The sequence below is a fragment of the Homo sapiens genome, chromosome 1 (assembly GCF_000001405.40).
Source record: "Homo sapiens chromosome 1, GRCh38.p14 Primary Assembly".
Taxonomy (NCBI): domain Eukaryota; kingdom Metazoa; phylum Chordata; class Mammalia; order Primates; family Hominidae; genus Homo; species Homo sapiens.
Genome location: NC_000001.11, coordinates 13,139,785 through 13,162,524, shown reverse-complemented (window position 1 = coordinate 13,162,524; position 22,740 = coordinate 13,139,785). Strand labels below are relative to the sequence as shown.

General features: G+C 45.1%; 1 protein-coding gene across 1 annotated transcript; it reads left to right on the top strand.

Moving 5' to 3' along the window:
* Nucleotides 1-6,515: 6,515 nt before the first annotated feature.
* PRAMEF26 (PRAME family member 26) lies at nt 6,516-13,618 on the top strand. Its single transcript, NM_001306072.3, has 4 exons — nt 6,516-6,641; nt 9,414-9,722; nt 10,395-10,976; nt 12,727-13,618. Exons 2-4 carry the CDS (start codon nt 9,430-9,432, stop codon nt 13,286-13,288), a joined length of 1,437 nt encoding a protein of 478 aa, NP_001293001.1. The 5' UTR covers nt 6,516-6,641; nt 9,414-9,429; the 3' UTR covers nt 13,289-13,618.
* The last annotated feature ends 9,122 nt before the right edge of the window (nt 13,619-22,740 follow it).

Below are 22,740 nucleotides of genomic sequence, written 5' to 3'. Positions count from 1 at the left end.
GTAATAAATGGAAATAGATACAGATATGAATAGGTAGACATACACACATATAGCTGCAAGAAACGGGGTTGTCGTGGACCAATGATGTCAGTGAGCCATGTAAAAAGGCTACAATTCTTGTGATTGTGTGTCCGTTTTCAGGATGGGTTGTAGATTACCTTTTTAGAAAGGCTGATGCCACAGTCATAGTCAAAAAAAATGATTATAAAATTTGCTTCCTTTCTGGAGCATCTCTGGAGAAATCTCCAATGGGAGGAGAACTCAGTTACTGGGCAGGTTATCACACAGGTAAGATTTTACTGATCCAATGGCACTAATATTAACTTCATTATCCTTCGTATTCTACAAAGGTTGAGTGAACAAACTGTATCTTGAAACTAAAATTAGCTGAACCAATAAAGGAGACTGCATTCTTTTTATTTTTTGTTTAGAGACAGAGTCTCTGTTGCCCAGGCTGGAGTACAATGGTGCTACCTTGGCTCACTGCAACTTCTGCATCCTGGGTTCAAGTGGTTCTCCTGCCTCAGCCTCCTGAGTAGCTGGGATTACAGGCACATGTCACCACACTGAGCTAACTTTTGTATTTTTAGCAGAAAGGGGGTTTCTCCATGTTGGCCAGGTTGGTCTCAAACCTCTGACCTTGGGATCTGCCTGCCTCAGCCTCCTAAAGTGCTGGGATTATAGGCGTGAGCCACCATGCCTGGTTGAATCTTTTTTACTTTTCTCAAGCATGGTGTCATAGTATTGGGTTCTATGCACTTAGAAGAGTGAGCCCATCGTTCAGTAACAATATGAATCAATACTGCAAGACCTTGATGCAGTATTTGAAAGACTATTTCCACTAGGTGAAGGAGGCTTTCAGTGATGCTTAGACCTTCATGCCCTAGCATTTGGAGATTGCATCCTTTAGAAATGACACCAAGGGAAATCTGCCCATGAACAGCATTGGATGGGACTGTACCAGATGACTTAAACTTAAGGATATCTGAGGAAAAGCCTTCCCTAGAAGCACACATCATCACCTGGTAGACAGCTTTTCCAAGACAATGGAACAAGACTCCATTTGATCTTCTTCCATTGACTGAGACTTGGTTTTGTTTTGTATTAACACAAAATTATCAAACCTATATTTTATGTTGTTAGGTACTTTCACCACTCAAACCAAACACTTTCTAAGATCTTCTGTTCAAAATGTAGCCACTCTCACTAACCAAAGCAATTGCTGGCTATGGAGTCATTTAGATGAAAGGGAAGGATCACACTTAATACTACAACCTGCTTTCGTACACAGTTGGGTAGCAATTGAGGATGCTAAATTCATGATAAGATTTGTTATCCTTCCTTTGGTAGGTTGGTTAATATTGATAATTAAATGACTTGGCATTGAGAAGAAGCTATAGGTGCAAATGAGTGGTCTATGACTATTATTGATTTCATTACTGGTAACTTATCTCTATGCATAGAAAACATTAGTGTAACTGGGTCTAATCTAGATGGTGTGCCAGACTCACACTAGAATAAACTCTGGTTTGATGCATATTATGAAGGCTGGAACGCTATAGTTATCGACATAGACACAGAATCAGAACATGACCATGTTACCCTCTGCCATATAATCAGAGAAACTTACTGAAACTAGATATTGGTTCATTGGAGATTCTAGAGGGAAATAGAATGCATCTATAGCTCTAGTATATGAAATAAATATTAGTTTTGTTTATTGGGTGCATCAATACTCAGGACATATTTGGAGAGGAACCTACTCATTCTTCTATGGAGATGACATGCAAGGATTACTTTATAAAAGACATAGAAATATTTTTTCTTCCCACCCCAATTCAAACCATTACCATACAACCTTGTGTCAATAGAAGATAAGGCTGTTGAGGTAGAAATAATTAACGAAAGCTTCACTGGAAGCTAAATGTGAGGATTGACCTGGAAGACACACACTGACAAAGTGGGTGTTTTCCAAAGTCTGTTACAAGTTGGAATGCTTTTGTAAGAAAGGTTAAAAGAAGGGAATGGGACTCCTCCTATCAGTTTGTTTTTAAATTTTCTTTTGTCTTATTGACCTGGCAAGGCTCAAATAGAATTGAGTTTTTGTTTTTGTTTTTTTCCATTGGACGGGACAAGACAGAGGTTACAATCATTGGCTTTAGATGACAACATAACAGGATAAAACGTATTCCTTGCAAGACAACCAGCAAAACTTCATGATCAGAATCAAATCAGCGTCCTTCTCACTGTCAGTGGGTGAAGCCTTCATCAGTAGTTGTGGGGTTTGAGGCACTCATGAACTCATGATCAGACACTTTGCTCAGGGACAGGATGTAAGCCAATCGAAAGACCTTCCCACAGGTGGTTAATTTGGAAGCCTGCCCAATGTGCCCTGCAAGTTTTCACTGGCAATATGCAGGTGCAGATATGACAAGGAATAACCATGGCCTTTACATCACCCCCAGCTGTTGAGGAATGGGATCCTTTTGACCCTTTCTGTCCATAGAACCAGGTTACTCATCTTGTGTGGCAACAAAATATATGGTCTACTTAACAGAGAAGAGGACTCTGTAAAAAAAAAAAAAAAAATGTATTATGAAGTAAGCAAAGAAATGGGAATAGATGTGAGATTATTCGGGGAGATAAAGGAAGTTGAAGGTTTTGAAAGGAAATATAAGGAGGATTATATAAATTGTTTTGAAAGACTCATACTTGGTCATAAGGATCAAAACCAAAGGGGCATCCATGCAATGTTGGATAGATTCATCCTCCACCCACTCAATAACCCCCAACATGTTCAGCAAGTCTTGGTTCACTCCCAGGTTCCCATTAAAAACCCAGCTCAACCCTGACCAGCTCCACCCTCACTTCCATTTGTAATTTTGACATGACTTTATTACAGGACCATCAGGTTCCTATGCCTGCTGCACAGTAGCTTAGCAATATTGTGAGACAGCAGGGTTTGCAGCAGAGAGTTTAATGATCACAGGGTGGCTGAATGAGAAGTTAGGAGGAGATCCTCAAATTCATCACCCCAAGGAGTACTGAGCATTTCCAGTGGATCCTGGATAGCAAGGGACTGGAAAGTTGGGGTAGCGGTAAGAGGGAAGAAGTCAACAGGATCTAGAAACTGCATTCTTTGCGTTAGTGCCTTGCAGGGCCCATTTAGATGAGCTGGCATCAGTAGTTTCACTGACATGCAGAATCTGAAAGAATATGTCAAATGAAAAAAGTTAATGTTTCACAATGCTTAAATTGTTGTCTGCAGGGAAGTTAAGGGGAACTGTAATCTAAGGTCTATATGATTTTGGAACAGTAGGCTGCCAGCAACCATAAGGAACCAGGTCAGAGAGCAAGCTGACCTCCTGATGAATGCTGAATGTGTTGCAAGCTTGGTTTATTTTTGTTTCTCCCCCTCCCTTCTTCACTGATTAAATTGATGAAGTTTATAGTTGTGGTTTCAATTTCTTCCAAAGAAGCCTTAACCTAAGCCCTGAGACCACTCACGCCCTCAGTGGCACCTCTCCTCCACCAGAACGAGCATATAATCTGCTACCTTAGGTTATATAAAATCCCCAAGACCATTCGATAAATTGAGATTTTTATTCTGATTTTGTAGGGATGACTCCTCTGTTTTTATAAAGCTTTTTAAAGTATAAAGCATTTTCATATTTTGATGTGGCCAAAGATCTCCTAACAACACTACTTTCAGATTTTATTTTTCTGTCTAATGTCGGGAACAGATCAAATCCTTCCCTGCCTCACACTCAAGACTATGAAGTTCACATATTAGTAAAGTTCCATCAGTGTTTGTGGAGTTCATGAATGAATTAATTTTTTTATTTTTTGACAGAATGTCCCTCTGTCACCCAGACTGGAGTGCAGTGGCACAATTTTGGCTCACTGCAACCATTGCCTCCTGGGTTCAAGCAATTCTCCTGCCTCAGCCTCCTGAGTCGCTGTGTTTCAGGCACCTGCCATCATGCCGGGCTAATTTTTGTATTTTTGTATTTTTGTAGAGACAGGGTTTCACCTTTTTGTCCTGGCTGGTCTTGAACCCCTGACATCAGGTGATCTACTCACCTTGTCCTTCCAAAGTGCTGGGATTACAGGTATGAGCCACCTCACCTGGCCTTGAATGAATGTATTCTTGACTTCTACCCTATCCCTAACACTGACAATTTCTTGCTTCATGAAGTGAATATAGATATGTGATATGAATGGACATCTGATGCAATCCATTAATCTGGGGAGAGCCAAAAACCCAATCAGGATTAACTGGCTGGAGCTTCAGAAATGCAATCAGATATCACTTTTTGATTGGAAGCTAGCAGCGGATACGTGGAGGGGCGTGGGTGGGAGTTGTGATTAGAAAGGTCAATAAAAGCTTCTAAAGACCCACAGGAGAGACCCAAAGTCTTCAAGTCTGGAGTACCTGCCTGGTTCTTCCTGAGGTCTGAGCACCTTCTAGACTACATCCAGATCTGGTAAGTCACTAATTTCTGTAAGGACACTCCCATCTGACCTACAGTCAGCTGGTCTGGGATGTTGACAGTGCAGCCTACGATGGCACAGAAGTGTATCCTGTCTTTTTTTTTTTTATATGAACAATTTAAAGCTTGAATGTTTTCCTCTAAATACAGCTCTGTCTTTATTTCAAAAAAGTTGATCGTTCTTTGGTTGATGTCGTTTCAAAATTCTTGAAGGGAGCAGTGACTCATGCCTTTAACCCCAACACTTTGGGAGGCCAAAGTGGGAGGATCATTTCAGCCCAGGGGTTTGAGACCAACCTGGGCAACATGACAGAAACCCTCCTCTACACAACGTTATTTTTTTTGTGAGGACGGGGATGGAGTCTCACTGTGTTGCCCAGACTGGAGTGCAGTGGCACGATCTCAACTCACTGCAACCTTTACCTTCCAGGTTCAAGCAATTCTCATGCCTCAGTCTCCATCCTCAGAAGCTGGTGTCAGCCATCTGCCACCATGCCTGGCTAATTTTTGCATTTTTAGTAGAGCGGGTGTTTCACCATGCTGGCCAGGTTGGTCTCCAACACCTGACCTCAAGTGATCCACCTGCCTTGGCCTCCCAAACTGCTGGGATTAGAGCCGTGAGCCACTGGTGCTCGGCCTCTACTTTTTTTTTTTTTAATTAGCCGGGCATGGTGGCATGCATCTGTAGTCCCAGCTATTTGGGTGACTGGTGTGGGAGAATCACTTTAGCCCAGAAGATTGAGGCTGCAGTGAGCCATGCTCACACCACTGCTGTACTCCAGCCTGGGCAAAAGAGAGAGACCCTGTCCAAAAAACAAAAACAAAATCTTAACAAAAAAGGATCTTCGACCTTAATTTTAAACCAATCACATCCTCTCGGTAATTCTTCCACCTGAATGGAGACATGGGTGTGGGGTGCATGCCTGTAATCCCAGCTACGTGGAAGCCTGAAGCATGAGAATTGCTTGAATCTCAGAGGCGGAGGTTACAATGAGCTGAGATGGCGCCGCTGCACTCCAGCATGGGGCAAAAAGTTAGACTCAGCTTCCCCCACACCAAAAAAATTAGATTATACCACCCAGGTGATCACTGGATACATGAAGATTTCTATTGTGTTTTCTTGGGGACTGTCATCTCTGTCTTTGTAAAACGTTTTAACTCTGAAATATTTCGATAAATTTGATGTGGCCAAGGATCCCTCAACAAAGGTACTTTCAAGTTTTTTCTTTTCTCTAATGTCAGGAAGAGATTCAACCCTTCCCTCTCTCACACTCAGGACTTTGAAGGACACATATTAGTAAAACTCCATGTTTATGGAGTGAATCACTGAATGAGTCCTGGACTTTCACCCTATCCCTAATTCTTTCACTTCGATGGATGAATATCTAACTCAATCAGTAAATCTGGAAGAAAGCAAAAAATCCAATCAGGATTAACTGGGTAGAGTTTAAGAAGTCAAATCAAATGTACAAATGTAGTTCTCTCTCTCTCTTTTTTCTTTTTTTTTTTTTTTTTTTTTTGAATCTTGCCTATTTCCCAGGCTGGAGTGCAGTGGTGTATTGTCAATTCACTGCAACCTCTGCCTCCTGGGTTCAAGCGATCCTCCTGCCTCAACCTCCCTGGTAGCTTGGACTATAGGCACAGACCACCGCACCTGGCTAATTTTTGTAATTTTGGTAGAGGTAGGGTTTTACCATGTCGGCCAGGCTTTTCTCAAACTCCTGACCTCAGATAATCCACCTGCCTCTGCCTCCCAAAGTGCTGGGATTACAGGAGTGAGCCACCTCACCTGGCCTTGAATGAATGTATTCTTGACTTCTACCCTATCCCTAACACTGTCAATTTCTTGCTTCGTGAAGTGAATATAGATATGTGATATGAATGGACATCTGATTCAATCCATTAATCTGGGGAGAGCCAAAAACCCAATCAGGATTAACTGGCTGGAGCTTCAGAAATGCAATCAGATATCACTTTTTGATTGGAAGCTAGCAGCGGATACGTGGAGGGGCGTGGGTGGGAGTTGTGACTAGAAACGTCAATAAAAGCTTCTAAAGACCCACAGGAGAGACCCAAAGTCTTCAAGCCTGGAGTTCCTGCCTGGTTCTTCCTGAGGTCTGAGCACCTTCTAAACTACATCCAGATCTGGTAAGTCATTAATTTCTGTAAGGACACTCCCATCTGACCTACAGTCAGCTGGTCTGGGATGGTGACAGTGCAGCCTACGATGGCACAGAGCTATATCCTGTCCTTTTTTTTTTCATATGAACAATTTGAAGCTTTGAATGTTTTCCTCTAAATAGAGTTCTGTCTTTATTTCAAAAAAGTTGATTGTGCTTTGGTTTAGGTCATTTCAAAATTCTTGAAGGGAGCAGTGACTCATGCCTTTAACCCCAACACTTTGGGAGGCCAAAGTGGGAGGATCATTTCAGCCCAGGGGTTTGATACCAACCTGGGCAACATGACAAAAACCCTCCTCTACACAACGTTTTTTTTTTTTTGAGGATGGGGATGGAGTCTCGCTGTGTTGCCCAGACTGGAGTGCAGTGGCACGATCTCAACTCACTGTAACCTTTACCTCCCAGGTTCAAGCAATTCTCATGCATCAGTCTCCATACAGAGAAGCTGGTATAACAGTCATCTGAAACCATGCCTGGCTAATTTTTGTATTTTTAGTAGGGGCGGGGGTTTCACCATGCTGGCCAGTTTGGTCTCAAACGCCTGACCTCAAGTGATCCACCTGCCTTGGCCTCCCAAAATGCTGGGATTAGAGCCATGAGCCACTGGTGCTTGGCCTCTACTTTTTTTTTTTTTTTAATTAGCTGGGCATGGTGGCATGCATCTGTAGCCCCAGCTATTTGGGTGGCTGGTGTGGGAGAATCACTTTAGCCCAGAAGATTGAGGATGCAGTGAGCCATGCTCACACCACTGCTGTACTCCAGCCTGGGCAAAAGAGAGAGACCCTGTCCAAAAAACAAAAGCAACATCTTAACAAAAAAGGATCTTTGACCTTAATTTTAAAGCAATCACATCCTCTTCCACCCAAATGGAGACATGAGTGTGGGGGTGCATGCCTGTAATCCCAGCTACGTGGAAGACTGAAGCATGAGAATTGCTTGAATCTTGGAGGCTGAGGTAACAGTGAGCCGAGATGGCACCACTGCACTCCAGCCTGGGCAACGAAGTGAGACTCAGCTCCCTCAACACCAAGAAGAATTATGCCACCCAGGTAATCACTGGATATATGAAGATTACTATTGTGTTTTCTTAGGAACTGTCATCTCTGTCTTTGTAAAACTGTTTTAACTCTGAAATATTTTGAGAAATTTGATGTGGCCAAGGATCCCTCTACAGATACTTTCAAGTTTTCTTTCTTTCTGTCTAATATCAGGAAGAGATTCAACCCTTCCCTGTCTCACACTCAGGACTGTGAAGGACACATATTAGTAAAACTCCACGTTTGTGGAGTGAATCAGTGAATGAGTCTTGGACTTTCACCCTATCCCTAAATCTTTCATTTTGATGGATGAATATCTAATTCAATCAGTTAATCTGGAAGAAAGCCAAAAATCCAATCAGGATTAACTGGGTAGAGATTAAGAAGTCTAATCAAATGTAGCTCTCTCTGTCTCTCTTTTGAATCTAGCCTATTTCCCAGGCTGGAGTGGAGTGGTATAATGTCAGCTCACCGCAACTTCTGCCTCCTGGGTTCAAGTGATCCTCCTGCCTCAGCCTCCCTAGTAGCTTGGACTACAGGCGCAGACCACTGCACCTGGCTAATTTTTGCTGGCTTAGTAGAGGTAGGGTTTTACCATGTTGGCCAGGCTCGTCTTGAACTCCTGATCTCAGATGATCCACCTGCCTTGGCCTCACAAAATGCTCAGATTACGGGTGAGTCACTGCACCCAGCCAAAGTGGTTGATTTTGAATATGTGCGAGAGGTGTGTATTGGAATCATCTATCTTGCGAATGATGCATAACAGTGTCACATAGCTTTCAAAGCTTCTCACTGAAATATTCGATAATAAGGCTGGAGTGGAGGCTCACAACTATAATCCCGGTACTTTGGGAGGCCAAGGGGGGTGGATTGCTTGAGACTAGGAGTTCAAGACCAGCTTGGACAACATAGTGAAATCCACTGTCTTTACAAAAAGTCAAAACATAAAAGATGAGCTGGGTGTGGTGATGCATAACTGTGGTCCCAGCTACTTGGGAGGCTGAGGAGGCTTGGGAGGCTGGGAAGTCAAGGCTGCAGTGAGCCAAGATCCCACCACTGCACTCCAGGCTGGGTAACAGAGCAAGACCCTGTCAGAAAGAGTGAGGGAGAGAGGGAGGGAGAGAGAGAATGAGAGAAGGGATGCAGGGAAAGAAGACAAGAAAGAAAGAAGGGAGAGAGAGGGGGGAAGAAAGAAAGAAGGGAGGGAGAGAGGGAAAGAAGGAAAGAAGAGAGAGAAAGAGAAGGAAACCTTAAATAAAGAAAAGAAAACAAATAGAACCTGTTCTAGGGATGCCCCATGAATGTTCCCAACAAGCTTATTTGTAGGAACTGAAATTGTGGGCATGTAGGCTTGTGACACTCCCTTTCCCATTGTTTTAGAACCTTGAGTAATTAGTAATTTCCCCCAATGGTCGGAGGGGTTTGCTTTCAGGTTCCTCCACACTCACTAGTCACTGGATGGAGCACTGGATAGAAAGGAAGGGCTAGTTGTGGCCCTGCCTCCTCACTGCTTCGGAGACGCTCATGCTGATGCAGCAGAGGCAGAATGCTGGCTTAATGGCCACTGAGTACTGAGTAGAATTGGAGTAAACTGAGGGCTGTTTCACCATTGCCAAAGCAGTGACTTTGGCCCTGGGAGAAGATGAGATTGCATGGGCTTGTCCTGAGAGTGATGCCTTTTCTCTGGGTTTGTCCTCTGGAAGTTTTCCCTGCAGATTCATGAAGATGAGCATCCGGACTCCACCCAGACTCCTGGAGCTGGCGGGGCGGAGCGTGCTGAGGGACCAAGCCTTGGCCATGTCCACCCTGGAGGAGCTGCCCACAGAACTTTTCCCCCCACTGTTCATGGAGGCCTTCAGCAGGAGACGCTGTGAGGCCCTGAAGCTGATGGTACAGGCCTGGCCCTTCCGCCGCCTCCCTCTGAGGCCTCTGATAAAGATGCCTTGTCTGGAGACCTTCCAAGCTGTGCTCAATGGGCTTGATGCACTGCTTACCCACGGGGTTCGTCCCAGGTGAGGTGGGCCAGGTGGGCTGGTGGGGAGGGCCCAGGTGTCCAACCGAAGGAACAGCTGGGTCATGAGAAGTGAGGAGGCCCAAGGGGCGATGGTGGTGGTGAGGAAGCTGAGAGGCCTTGGCCATTCACCAGCTCCTCAGGGAAAGCACTGCTGACCATGCCAGGTCCATGGAGGTAACAGGAACCTCTCCCCTAATGGCACTGAAAGCCAGCATGAAAAGTGAGAACTGGGCCGGGCACGGTGGCTCACAATGTATTCCCAGCACATTGGGAGGCCGAGGTCAAGAGTTGGAGGCCAGCCTGTCCAACATGGTAAACCCCAACTCTACTAAAAATACTAAAATTAGCTGGGCATGGTGCTGGGCTCCTGTAATCCCAGCTACTTGCAAGGTTGAGGCAGGAGAATCCTTTGAACCGGGGAAGCAGAGGTTGCAGTGAGGTGACATCACACCACTGCACTCCAGCCTGGGTGACAGAAGGAGACTTGGTCTCAAAAAAAAAAAAAAAAAAAAAAATGTGAAAGTGGGCAGGATCCAAGGGGAAAACAGGGTGGAGAAATGTCAGAGACAGGGACAAGAAGCAGGGAGGGGAGGAGCTGCTATCCAGGATGTGGAGTTTAAGTTCAGAAATGAGTTCTGAAATTCTCAGTCTCACCTCTATTTTCCCACAGGAGGTGGAAACTTCAAGTGCTGGATTTACAGGATGTCTGTGAGAACTTCTGGATGGTTTGGTCTGAAGCTATGGCCCGTGGGTGCTTCCTCAATGCCAAGAGGAACAAAAAACCAGTGCAGGACTGTCCAAGGATGAGAGGACGGCAGCCCTTGACTGTGTTCGTAGAACTTTGGCTCAAGAACAGGACTCTGGATGAACACCTCACCTGCCTCCTTCTATGGGTCAAGCAGAGGAAAGATTTACTACACCTGTGCTGTAAGAAGCTGAAAATTTTGGGAATGCCCTTCCGCAATATCAGAAGCATCCTGAAAATGGTGAACCTAGACTGTATCCAGGAGGTGGAAGTGAATTGCAAGTGGGTACTGCCCATCCTGACACAGTTTACCCCATACCTGGGCCACATGAGGAATCTTCAGAAGCTCGTTCTCTCCCACATGGATGTCTCTCGCTACGTTTCCCCAGAGCAGAAGAAGGAGATTGTTACCCAGTTCACCACTCAGTTCCTCAAGCTGCACTGCCTCCAAAAGCTTTATATGAACTCTGTTTCTTTCCTCGAAGGCCACCTGGACCAGCTGCTCAGGTGAGGGAGGGTGGTGAGCTTTCTCTGCAGACCACAGCAGAGCCTGTTTCACTAAACGCTAGTGGGCATCTACTGTGAGCCAGCCTATGAGGATGAAACAGTGAAGGGGACACTAGAATGTCCATACATTGTCCTGTTGGCGGCCCTGTCCTGAAATGGGTATCATGCAACCATCCCAATAGAGGCAGAGGGATCAGCTAGGGGAGATGCTATAGAGAGGTTGCCATACTAGGAAGCTAGCTACTGGGGGGTTCAGATCTAGTGAGGGTGCCTTTCTGAATTCTTCCTGAGGACGTGTGTCTAAGTTAAGATGATGAAAAATAGGCCAGGGACGGTGGCTCATGCCTGTAATCCTATCACTTTGGGAGTCTGAGGCAAGAGGATAGCTTGAGCCTAGGAGTTTAAGACCAGTCTGGGTAACATCCCAAGACCCCTGTCAGAAATGAAGAAATAAAAGTAAAAACAAACAAGATAACTTTTTTTTTTTCTGAGATGGATTTTCACTATGATCGTCCAGGCTAGAGTGCAGTTGTGACATCTCAGCTCGCAGCAACTTCTGCCTCCCAGGTTCAAGCGATTCTCCTGCCTCAGCCTCCTCAGTGCCTGGGATTACAGGCGTGGGCCACCACACCTGGCTAATTTTTATATTTTAAGTAGAGACAGGGTTTCACCATGTTGGCCAGGATATTCTCCAACTCCTGACTTCAGGTGATCCGCCCACCTTGGACTCCCAAAGTGCTGGGATTATAGGCGAGAGCTACCACGCCCAGCCAACAAGATAATTTTTAAGAAGATGATGGGAAGTAGGGAAGTGAAGTGGTCACTGAAGAGGGGAATGCTCAGCAAATCTGCACATGTCAGAAAATCAGCTTTGTGCCCCACAGTTCCGTGAACATGAATGATCCCATCTCTAATTCCCTGTTGTAAAAGTTTCTTTTGAGCTCCAGGTAAATTAATTACCTAGGAAATGTATGATTCTGAAACAGAGGGTCAGGGAGCAGGCACAAAGAATGGTGAAAGTGATAGATGGTTTGCTGATGATACAGGCGTGTCAGGGACGCCTGCAGCCCGCCCACCCCAGCTGATGTTGCAGGATCCTGTCTGGGTTTGTCCTTTATGCCTGCATCTCCACTGGGCTTCTGTGGCCCAGGGATGTGGTTTTCTGCCTGACAGATGAGGAAAGGGAGCTTTAGGGATTCTGTGAACTTGATCCATTCCTATAAATGATGGTGAAATGACTCAGCCTCAAATGGAATTATTTTTTCTCCTTTTTTTTTTTTAATACAGAGTCTCTCTCTGTCACCCAGGCTGGAGTGTAGTGGCATGATCTCTGCTCACTGCAACCTACACCTCCTGGGTTCAAGCGATTCTTCTGCCTCAGCTTCCCAAGTAGCTGGAATTGCAGGCTCCCGCCACCACAGCTGGCTAATTTTTGGATTTTTAGTAGAGAGGAGGTTTTGCCATGTTCAGCAGGCTGGTCTCAAACTCCTGATCTCAAGGAATCCACCAGTCTCAGCCTCCCAAAGTTCTGGGATTACAGGTGTGAGTTACTGGGCCGGGCCTAAAGTGGAATTGACCTCGGTGGCAAAGCTCTTCATCACACATCATCCGAAGTGTTGACCATCCGGCCATGAGAATGATCCTGGACTTGGGCAAAATGGTCTCCATCCATTACCTTGAAGCCATTCCCCACCACCCTCCACTCACCCCTATGATTCCCCAGAATTAACTTCTTGCTCTCTCTCCACAGCTGTCTGAAGACCTCGTTAAAGGTCCTCACAATAACTAACTGTGTGCTTTTGGAATCAGACTTGAAGCATCTATCCCAGTGCCCGAGTATCAGTCAACTAAAGACCCTGGACCTGAGTGGCATCAGACTGACCAATTACAGTCTTGTGCCTCTCCAAATTCTCCTAGAAAAAGTTGCAGCCACCCTTGAGTACCTGGATTTAGATGACTGTGGCATCATAGACTCCCAAGTCAACGCCATCCTGCCTGCCCTGAGCCGCTGCTTTGAGCTCAACACCTTCAGCTTCTGTGGAAATCCCATCTCCATGGCCACCCTGGAGAACCTGCTGAGCCACACAATCATACTCAAAAACTTATGCCTGGAGCTGTATCCTGCCCCACGGGAGAGTTATGGTGCTGATGGTACTCTCTGCTGGAGCAGATTTACTCAGATTAGGGCTGAGCTGATGAAGAGAGTTAGGGACTTAAGGCACCCCAAGAGGATCTTGTTCGGTACTGACTACTGCCCTGACTGTGGCAACAGGTCATTTTATGACCTGGAGGCAGATCAATACTGCTGTTGAATGCCTGCCTATTTGGATGGGTATGTCAAACGCTTTCTTCTGGACACTTGGAAACTAAAACCTAGGTCTTAGGTACATCCTAAAGGGAGCACAGAACCCATCGTTTCACACATGGGCTCTGAAAGTGGGAAAGGAATGCTGATCAAGCAGGGGCAGGACTTGGGGGAAATGTTGCCATGGATTCGATGGGACTTTGGGAACGTGTATCCTGTAGAGTCGAAAATGGGAATCTGAATGTCTAGAGTGGAATTCAGGCTTGAGAATACATGAGGGAGTTACTCTTGCATGGATGGTTGTAAAGAAACAATCAGAAATAAAGGAAAACTGAGCAGAATCTGTCTGGTGCCCTCTATTATTAAGTAACCTGTTTTCCAGTTTAAGCCTCAGGAATCTTCAGTTATTGATGGAAAAAACAAAAGGCACTGACTGAGTTGTCCAATCAATAAGATGCAGCCCAAGAAAATCAAGGCATTTAAATGAAATTTGGTTATTGTAATCAGTTTCCTCCCATTCTTTTATTGGAGACAGAGTTTCACTCTTGTTGCCCAGGCTGGAGTTTAGAGTGCAATGGTGCCATCTCAGCTGACTGCAACCTCCACCTGGGGTTTAAATGATTCTCCTGCCTCAGCCTCCCAAGTAGCTGGGATTACTGGCATGCACCACCGTGCCCAGCTAATTTGTGTATGTTTAGTAGAGACAGGGTTTCCTCACTATGTTGGTCAGGCTGGTCTCAAACTCCTGACTTTGGGTGATTCATGCAAGTAGGCCTACCAAAATGCTGGGATTACAGGTGTGAGCCACTGTGTCAGGCTTTTGCTTTTGTTTTTGTTTTTTAAAGGTCTTCTGTCACTCAGGCTACAGTGCAGTGGCACAATCATACCTCACTGCAGCCTCAATTTCCTGGGTTCAGGCGATCTTCCCACCTCAGCCTCCTGAGTAGCTAGGACTACAGCTGTGTGAGCCACCACACCTGGATACTTTTTTTTAGTAGAAACAAGGCCTCGCTGTCTTCCCCAGGCTGATCTGGAACTCCTGAGCTTGTGATTCTCCTGCCTTGGCCTCCCAAAATGCAGGGAGTATAGGCGTGGACCACCACGCTTGGCTTGGCCTCCTCCAGTTCTTCACTTCTTTAGATGTCTGTTAAATCCTTGTTAGTTTCTGTGGCTGTTCAGTGGGTTAATACACACCAGGTGGACACCAAAGGCCTGGAACATTACTGGGCAAGAACAGTGAGCCAATCCACACGGAAAGCACCTTCTTCTCAGGGTCTTTCACCGCTAGCCAGATGCTGAGACCCTGCCCACTCCCTGTGAGTCTCCACATGCTTCCAGAAGCCTTAGTTGGTGGATGTCAGCTGCACTGCACAAGGACCCACTCTCTTCTCGCTGCCCTGGAAGGGTATGTCCATATTGTGTATTAGCTGGAGACTCTGGGCAGCACCAAACCTTGCTTGTTCCCCTGATGACCAGCAGCCCTTCTTGAATTAAACTGGTTGTAGCCAGTAAAGACAGCCACATTCCCTTTAAGTAAAATACTAAAACTATACAGGCATGTAACACTTTTTAAATATTTCCATCTGACATTTTAAAAGTTACATCTTTTTGGGGAGCTAGGTCAGATTGATGAGAGATTTTCTCATAACACTTTCCCTCTCTCCCTATGAAGGAAGAGACTAGTGCAGCGTGTTCTGGAATCTGACAGCATCAAAGGGTGGATAACGATCAAGGGCCTGTGGGTGATGAGTGACCTTCCCTGTGCTGAGGAAGCCTGCATAGCGGGCATCCAAGTGAAGGATCCTGCTGAGTACTCAGGGGCTGGTGTTGCTGTCAGGGATGTTAGCCAAGAGCCTCAGCTTCCTGTAAAATGAGGATGATGATGTCCAACAGCTTATGGGACCTAGGTAGGATCCAATGAGATGGTTCATGTTTAGGGCTTGGCATGGGGTCTGGCATACAGTAAGATCAATACATCTTGTTCTTTTTTCTCTTCTCAGCAGAAGTCCCAGCATTTTTCATCTTTCAATCTCACCTCCTTTTCCTGATAATAGAGAGGCAACAAGAACTCAGGGCATGCAATGGGGCTCAACTTCTACTCTCTGCCACAATTTCATCATGATTCCCCCAAAGAGCAGAGCCCCAGGAGCCAGCAGGGGGCAGGGTGGGCATTTCTGGACTGGATTCATTCATAATAAGATCAAAATTTCCAATCCGTATGTCTCGGGTGCCATCTGCTGATAGATCCGACCAGATGGTATAATTGAGTGTTGCAAGGATTATATTTTATGGTGTTTTTAAAAATGTACTATTATGAGCCAGGTGCAGTGGCTCACGCCTGTAATTCCAGCACTTTGGGAGGCTGAGGCAGGTGGATCACCTGAGGTTGGGAGTTTGAGACCAGCCTGAGCAACATGAAGAAACCCCTTCTCTACTTAAAATACAAAAAATTAGCCAGGCGTGGTGGCGCACGTCTGTAATTGCAGCTACTCGATAGGCTGAGGCGGGAGAATCGTTTGAACCTGGGAGGTGGAGGTTGCGGTGAGCTCAGACTGAGCCATTGCACTCCAGCCTGGGCAACAGTAGCAAAAGTCCGTCTCAAAAAAAAAAAGATAAAATAAAATTTATTATTATGGCCGGGCATGGTGTCTCACACTTCTAATCCCAGCACTTTGGGAGGCCAAGGCAGCCTCGGGATTTTGAGACCAGCCTTGCCAACATGGTGAAACCCCGTCTCTACTAAAAATACACAAAATTTGCTGGGAGTGGTGGCATTCGCCTGTAATCCCAGGTATTCAGGAGGCTGGGGCAGGACAATCACTTGAACCCGGGAGGCGAAGGTTGCAATGAGACAAGATCGCGCCACTGCACTCCAGCCTGGGTGACAGAGCATGAAAAAAAATTTACTATAATGTGAATACTATTAGAGTACAAATATTTGTGTTGTAATTTATGTACATGAAAGATTAGAACTTTTAAAGAATGCAACGTGATATGTTAAGAATGGTTAATGGCCAGGTGTGGTGGTTCATGCCTGTATTCCTGGCACTTTGGGAGGCCGAGGTGGGCAGATCACGAGGTCAGGAGTTCCAGACCAGCCTGGCCAACATGATGAAACCCCGTCTCTACGAAAAATACAAAAAATTAGCCTGGCGTGGTGACAGGCGCCTGTAATCCCAGATAGTCAGGAGGCTGAGGCAAGAGAATCGCTTGAACCTGGGAGGCAAAGGTTGCAGTGAGCCGAGAATGCACCACTGCACTCCAGCCTGGGTGAAAGAGGAAGACTCCGTCTCAAGGAGGGTGAGAAAAAGAATACTTAACTTGGTTTGAAATGTCAAAACAAATGAGATTTTAAAAACTAATTTTAAAGACACTGAACAATAATCATTTCTTCTTTAAAATATATTTAGAATAATACAATTTTAGCTTTGAAAGGAAACATTACAGTTTTTAAAAATATTGAGTTTATTTTATTTTATTTTATTTTATTTGGAGACAAAGTCTCACTCTGTCGTCCAGATTGGAGTGCAGTGGCATGATCACGGCTTACTGCAGCCTTGACCTCCTAGGCTCAGGTGATCTCCCTGCCTCAGTCCCCCTAGTAGCTGGAACAACAGGCATGCACCATCATGCCTGGCTTATTTTTGTATTCTTAGTGAAGACCAGGCTTCACCACGTTGCCCAGACTGGTCTTGAAATTCTGGGCTCAAGCGATCCACCTGCCTCGGCCTCCTAAATTGCTGGGAGTGAGCTCTTATAGGTATGAGCCACCGCACCCAGCCTTGAGTTTATTTATTTATTTATTTTGGAGATGGAGTCTCACTCTTTCACCCAGGCTGGAGTGCAGTGGTACGATCTCAGCTCACTGCAACCTCTGCCTCCAGGGTTCAAACAATTCTCCTGTCTCAGCCTCCAGAGTAGCTGGGATTACAGGCATGCACCACCACACCTGATTAATTTTTGTATTATTATTATTATTATTTTTTAGTAGAGACAGGGTTTTGTCATTTTAGCCAGGCTGGTCTCGAACCCCTGACCTCAGGTGATCCACCCGCCTCGGCTTCCCAAAATGCTACGACTATAGATGTGAGCCACCACGCCCAGCCTATTTTTTTCTTTATAGCAGTTTTAGATTCACAGAAAAACTAAGCAGAAACTGCAGAGTTCTCATCTACCTTCTTCCCCCTTCAATACACAGCACCCCCACAGGATCAGCACCCACACCAGCACAGAGCATTCGTCACAACCAATGAGCCACAGGGACACATCATTATCACCCAATGTCCATAGTTCACATGAAGGATCATTGCTGGTTTTGTATATTCTATGGATTTTAACAAAGGGATAATGACATGTATCCACCATTAGAGCATCATGGAGAGTAGTTTTGTTTCCTTAAAAGTCCTCTGTCCTCTTTCCATTCATCCCATTGTACTCCAAATCCCTTGCAACCACTGGGTTTTCTACCATCTCCATAGAAAAAGGCAGAAGGCTCTTCTGGAATGTCTAACAGGATGAGTCTTTTCACATTGCCTTCTTTCACTTGTACAATAACGTGCATTTAGGAATCTTTCATGTCTTTTTATGGCTTCGTAATAGTTCACTGACCAGATGGATCACAGTTTCTTTATCCAGTCACCCACTGAAGGGCATCTTTCTTGCTTCCAAGTTTTGGCGATTATGAATAAAGCTGCTATAAACATCCAGGTGTGGGTTTACTCCCTTCGTTAAATACCTGGGAGCATGATGACTGAATCGTAGGGGTATGGTATGTTTTACAAGGATTTTTTCTTTCTTGACAATCTCACTTGTTCGATATTGCTGCTAAAGGTCAGGAACTTTGTCTCGCTCATCCTGTGGTCCCACTGCTGAGCATGGAACGTGGCACTTGGTAGCAAATGCTGTTGACCACATGATGCATGGAAATGCTTATCATCAGTATAGCCACTAAATTGCTAACGTGGGGACGTCAACAGTAGCTCACTACCAATAATACAAATAAGTTGGATTATGGAAAAAATAGCCCTTGTGATACTGTGGATACTCCATGTGTATCATGAAAGTACAGCAATTGGCCAGGTGCAGTGGCTCACATCTGTAATCCCAGCATCTGGGAGGCCGAAGTGGGTGGGTCACTTTAGGTCGGAAGTTTGAGACAAGCATGGCCAACATGATTGAAATCCTGTCTCTATTAAAAATACAAAAATTGACTGGGCGTGGTGGTGCATAGGTGTAGTCCCCACTACTGGGGAGACTGAGGGAGGAGAATTGCTTGAACGCAGGAGGTGGAGGTTGCAGTGATCGAAGATCATGCCATTGCACCCCAGCCTAGGCAACAGAGTGAGATACCGTATCAAAAAAAGAAAAAGAAAGAAAGAAAGAGAGAGAGAGAGAGAGAGAGAAAGAAAGAAAGAAAAACAAAATGAAACAAAACAAGAAAGTCCAGCATGGTAGGAGGTACATAGAGGTACATGAGGGCGAGCTTCATTTGTTTTTCATCATTTTTCCCTTCTCTGGACAGTATTCTGAATGCAAAACATTCCAAAACCACAGAGCAAACATCTCCTATAATCTTCCCCTTATCCCAGACTTCTCTTCACAGTGTATGTGCTAGTGTCTTCCAGACTTTTGTATGACTTGCTATACAGAAGATCAGATCAAATGGGCATGTCCCTAAAAAGTGGTGACTTGCCAGTTCTGGACTCACTTTGCAGGGTGCCGGGACCTCTGTGAGAATCAAGCAGTAGCTCCAGGAGCCAGGGCTTTGGGTCTCTTCTGTGCACCTTCAGGAGCTTTTATTGACCTTTCTCACTACAACCCCCTTCTTGACTACCAACTTCCAATTCGAAAACGACATCCAACTGGATCGTGAACTTCCACCCAGTTAACCCTGATTGAGTTTTCAATTTTCTTCTCATGAAGTGATTAAATTAGATAGGCATTTATGAAAGTGAAAGAAGTAATAACAGGATGAAGGTCTAAAACTCATTTATTCACTTATTCCACAAACACTGGTAAAGTTTGACTAATATGTGACCTTCATAGTGATACAGGGAAGGATTTAATCTGTTTCTGACATTAGAATATATATATATCTTTATTGGAGAATCTTTGGCCACATCAAAAGTATCAAAACATTTCAGCATTAAAGCAGCTTTAAGAAGACAGGGATGTCATCCCTAAAAAACACAATAAAAATCTCTGTGTATCCACTGGGCACCTGGGTTTTATGCTACCTAACATGGTAGATCATATGCCCATTCAGGTGGAAGACAGGAACTACTGAGGGTGTAATTTTTCTCAAGGTTAAGGTCAAGGTTTCACTGAAAGAAATCAGGCCTACATTACAAAGTAAGGTGAGGGCTGGGCTGGATGGGACTAAGTGTTCTAATGGGACCCTAGGAGGGAACCAAGACAACATAAAACATGGCAGGTATTTTGTGGGCATCTGGACAAAAGGATTGAAAGACTTTTTTTTTTTTTAGATTGGGTGTCACCCAGGGTGGTGTGCAGTGTTGCAATCTTGACCTACTGCAACCTCTGCCTCCCAGGCTCAAGCAATCATCCCCTCTCAGCCTTCTGAGTAGCTGGAACTTCCAGCATGTGGCAGCATACCTGGCTAATATTTTGTATTTCATGCAGAGAAAAGATTTTACCACATTTCCTGGGCTAGTCTCAGAATTCCTGGACTCAAGTGAACCATGGTGCCCAGCAATGTTATTGTGATTTTAAATGACAGATTTTGCTTTGTTTTTAAGAAAACCACAGAGATATTCCATATGCTATTTTCTTTTCTTTTTTTTTTTTAATTTTGAAATGAAGTCTCACTCTGTCACTCAGGCTGGGGTGCAATGGCATGATCTCAGCTCACTGCAACCTCCACCTCCCAAATTCAAGTGATTCTTCTGCCTCAGCCTCCTGCGTAGCTGAGATTACAGGTGCGAGCCAACACACCCAGCTAATTTTTGTATTTTTAGTAGGGTTGGGGTTTCACCATATTGGCCTCACTGGTCACGAACTCCTAACCTCAGATGATCCACCTGCCTTGGCCTCCCAAAGTGCTGGGATTACAGGCATGAACCACCATGCCCCATCATATATGCTATTTTCTATTAATTTTTTTAATAGTGATGGGGTCTTGCTTTACTACGTAGTCTGGTCTTGAGGCAGAAATTTAAACACAATAATAACAATAAATACTACATTCATTTACTCCAAGAAAAGTTACAGACAAAGCTATAAGAAGGTCATAGTGACCTAGTCTGAGAAGTAAAAGCCAAGGCCCAGAATGTGTCAGGCAAAGGTAAAACAAACAAACAAACAAACAAAAAACAAGTTTTCCTCTGCCTAGCAAGCTCATTTCAAGGACAGTTATAAGATAATGCTGTTGGAGAAGTTGAAAGAAAGGAATAGGCTCCAGACACCCACTGCTCCAGAGCAAGGGTGATTAAAAAAAAGAAAGAAAAATGGCAAATGTCTGTATTTAGCCAGTTCTTCTTTTTTCTTTTGATGCAGCTACAAGGCCACCAGCTATGCAAGGCCACAGTTATGTAATAGATTACATTACCTGTCATTGTATGATTAACTGCCATTGTTTTGCTTCTGTAAGCCTGCTTATAAAAATCCTGCTCAGTCTTTGTTCAATGCTCAGCTTTTTGGATATGAATCCACTGAGCCAGTGTGTACCTTAAAAAAAAAAATCCTCCTGTTTTCCCATATCAGTCTCTCTGGTCCTCAGTTTCTCAGAACTTTTTGGTGAGCCAGACAGGAGGAGTGGAGATGACAGGTTTACTTTCTCCTTTTCTTGTGGGGCTGGAGCCCAGGGTCAAGGGAAAGAAACCTGTGACCCCAGGCGCTGCTGGAAGAACTTCAGCCCAGAGGGGAGATCGGCTCTCCTGTGACCTGGTGCCCCCACCCAGCAGCACAACAGAACCTGAGGGGCTACAGGATGATTCCAGGAGCAGTGTGATTTCTTCAGGACTGCAGTAAAGTTTTGGGACCAAAGACAGGATCCGTCCCATAAGGACGGAAGGGGAGCCTGATCACCTCCAAGGGTGTAACTAGTAATCTGACCCAGAGAGGCTGGAGGTGGTGACAGAGGCTCGCCAATTCAGATGAATCTCACACCCTACCTGGCACACAATGCAAGAGTGGCTCCCCAAGTCGGTTAGGAAAAGAAAACTGGAGGTGGTGAGAGTGGCTCACAACCCCAATTAGGAACACACGAACTGGGAGTGGGGAGGTGTGTGAAAGTGTGTGAAAGATACAGTTCAGGGAGGAACCAATGTGGGAGTGGCATGGGGAGTCACAGATCTCTTAGCATGGTCTGTGTGCTCCAAGCCAAGTGTGGGGCCAACCTGCACTAGTGGCGAACCGCATACAGCTAATAGGAGCTGCCCCACATCTCAGAGTTATGGTGGGAATAAAACCCTTTCTTAAGCCAAGTGGCATCTGAAAACTCCCATAATAGGAGATGATCTGGTGGGTCTGAGGCAAAAGGAAGAGTGGGTGTGCTGCATCGTAAAGCGAGGAAATAGGAGGAAAGTCATCAAAACACACTCCATTGGGTGCATGTTAGAGAACTTTAATAAAGGTTTTGCAGGAGATTATGGAGTTACGCTAACCTCCTAGAGGTTGAGAACTCTCTGTGAATTCAAATGGCCTTCTTTTGGTGTTGGATGGCCAACCAAAGGAACTATAGATAGGGAAATAATTGACCGTGTATTTAAGGTGGTGACAGGGGTTGGAGGACAGCCTGGGCACCCAGATCAATTTCCTTATATTGACTTATGGTTAAATATAGCACAGACAAGACCAGCATGGTCCAGCTCTGTTTAGCCAGTTAGTGCAAAACACTTGTGGCCAGAGCCGTGCCAAAAATGAAAGTAAGAACAGCTTCACCGGCAGACACAGAGTTAAAGGCAAAGTCCCAGAGGGAGCAAAAAAGCCAGTTTTGCAGGATCCACCAGAGGGAATAGAGATTCCTACTCCATATGTCCCAGCCTAGCCTTCTTTACCGAGGCCAACAGTCCCCCAGGAACCAGATTCAGGAGCTAGCACACCCAAAGTCTCACCCCAAAGGAAGGATCAGAGGCTTGAGAGGCCAGGGAAGGAAGTCAAGATGGTTAAGCCGGCCATCTCAGATCTAGCCATGCTTGAGTTATGCAAATGCATCTCAGGGAGATGGGAGGACCCATTTATTATGATGACCAAGGCCAAGTCAGGTGGGGGGAATGGACTTTCATCTATCATCCCTTTTCAACCATTGATCTCTTGAACTGGAAACACCATACTCCCTCCTATATGGCAAAGCCCCAAGCTCTTATAGATCTGATGCAATCCATCTTTCTGACACACAATCCAACCTGGCCAGACTGCAGGCAGTTTTTTCTCCCACTGTTTAACACTGAGGAGTGTCGGAGAGTAACACAGGCAACTCTCTGCTGGCTAGAAGCCCGC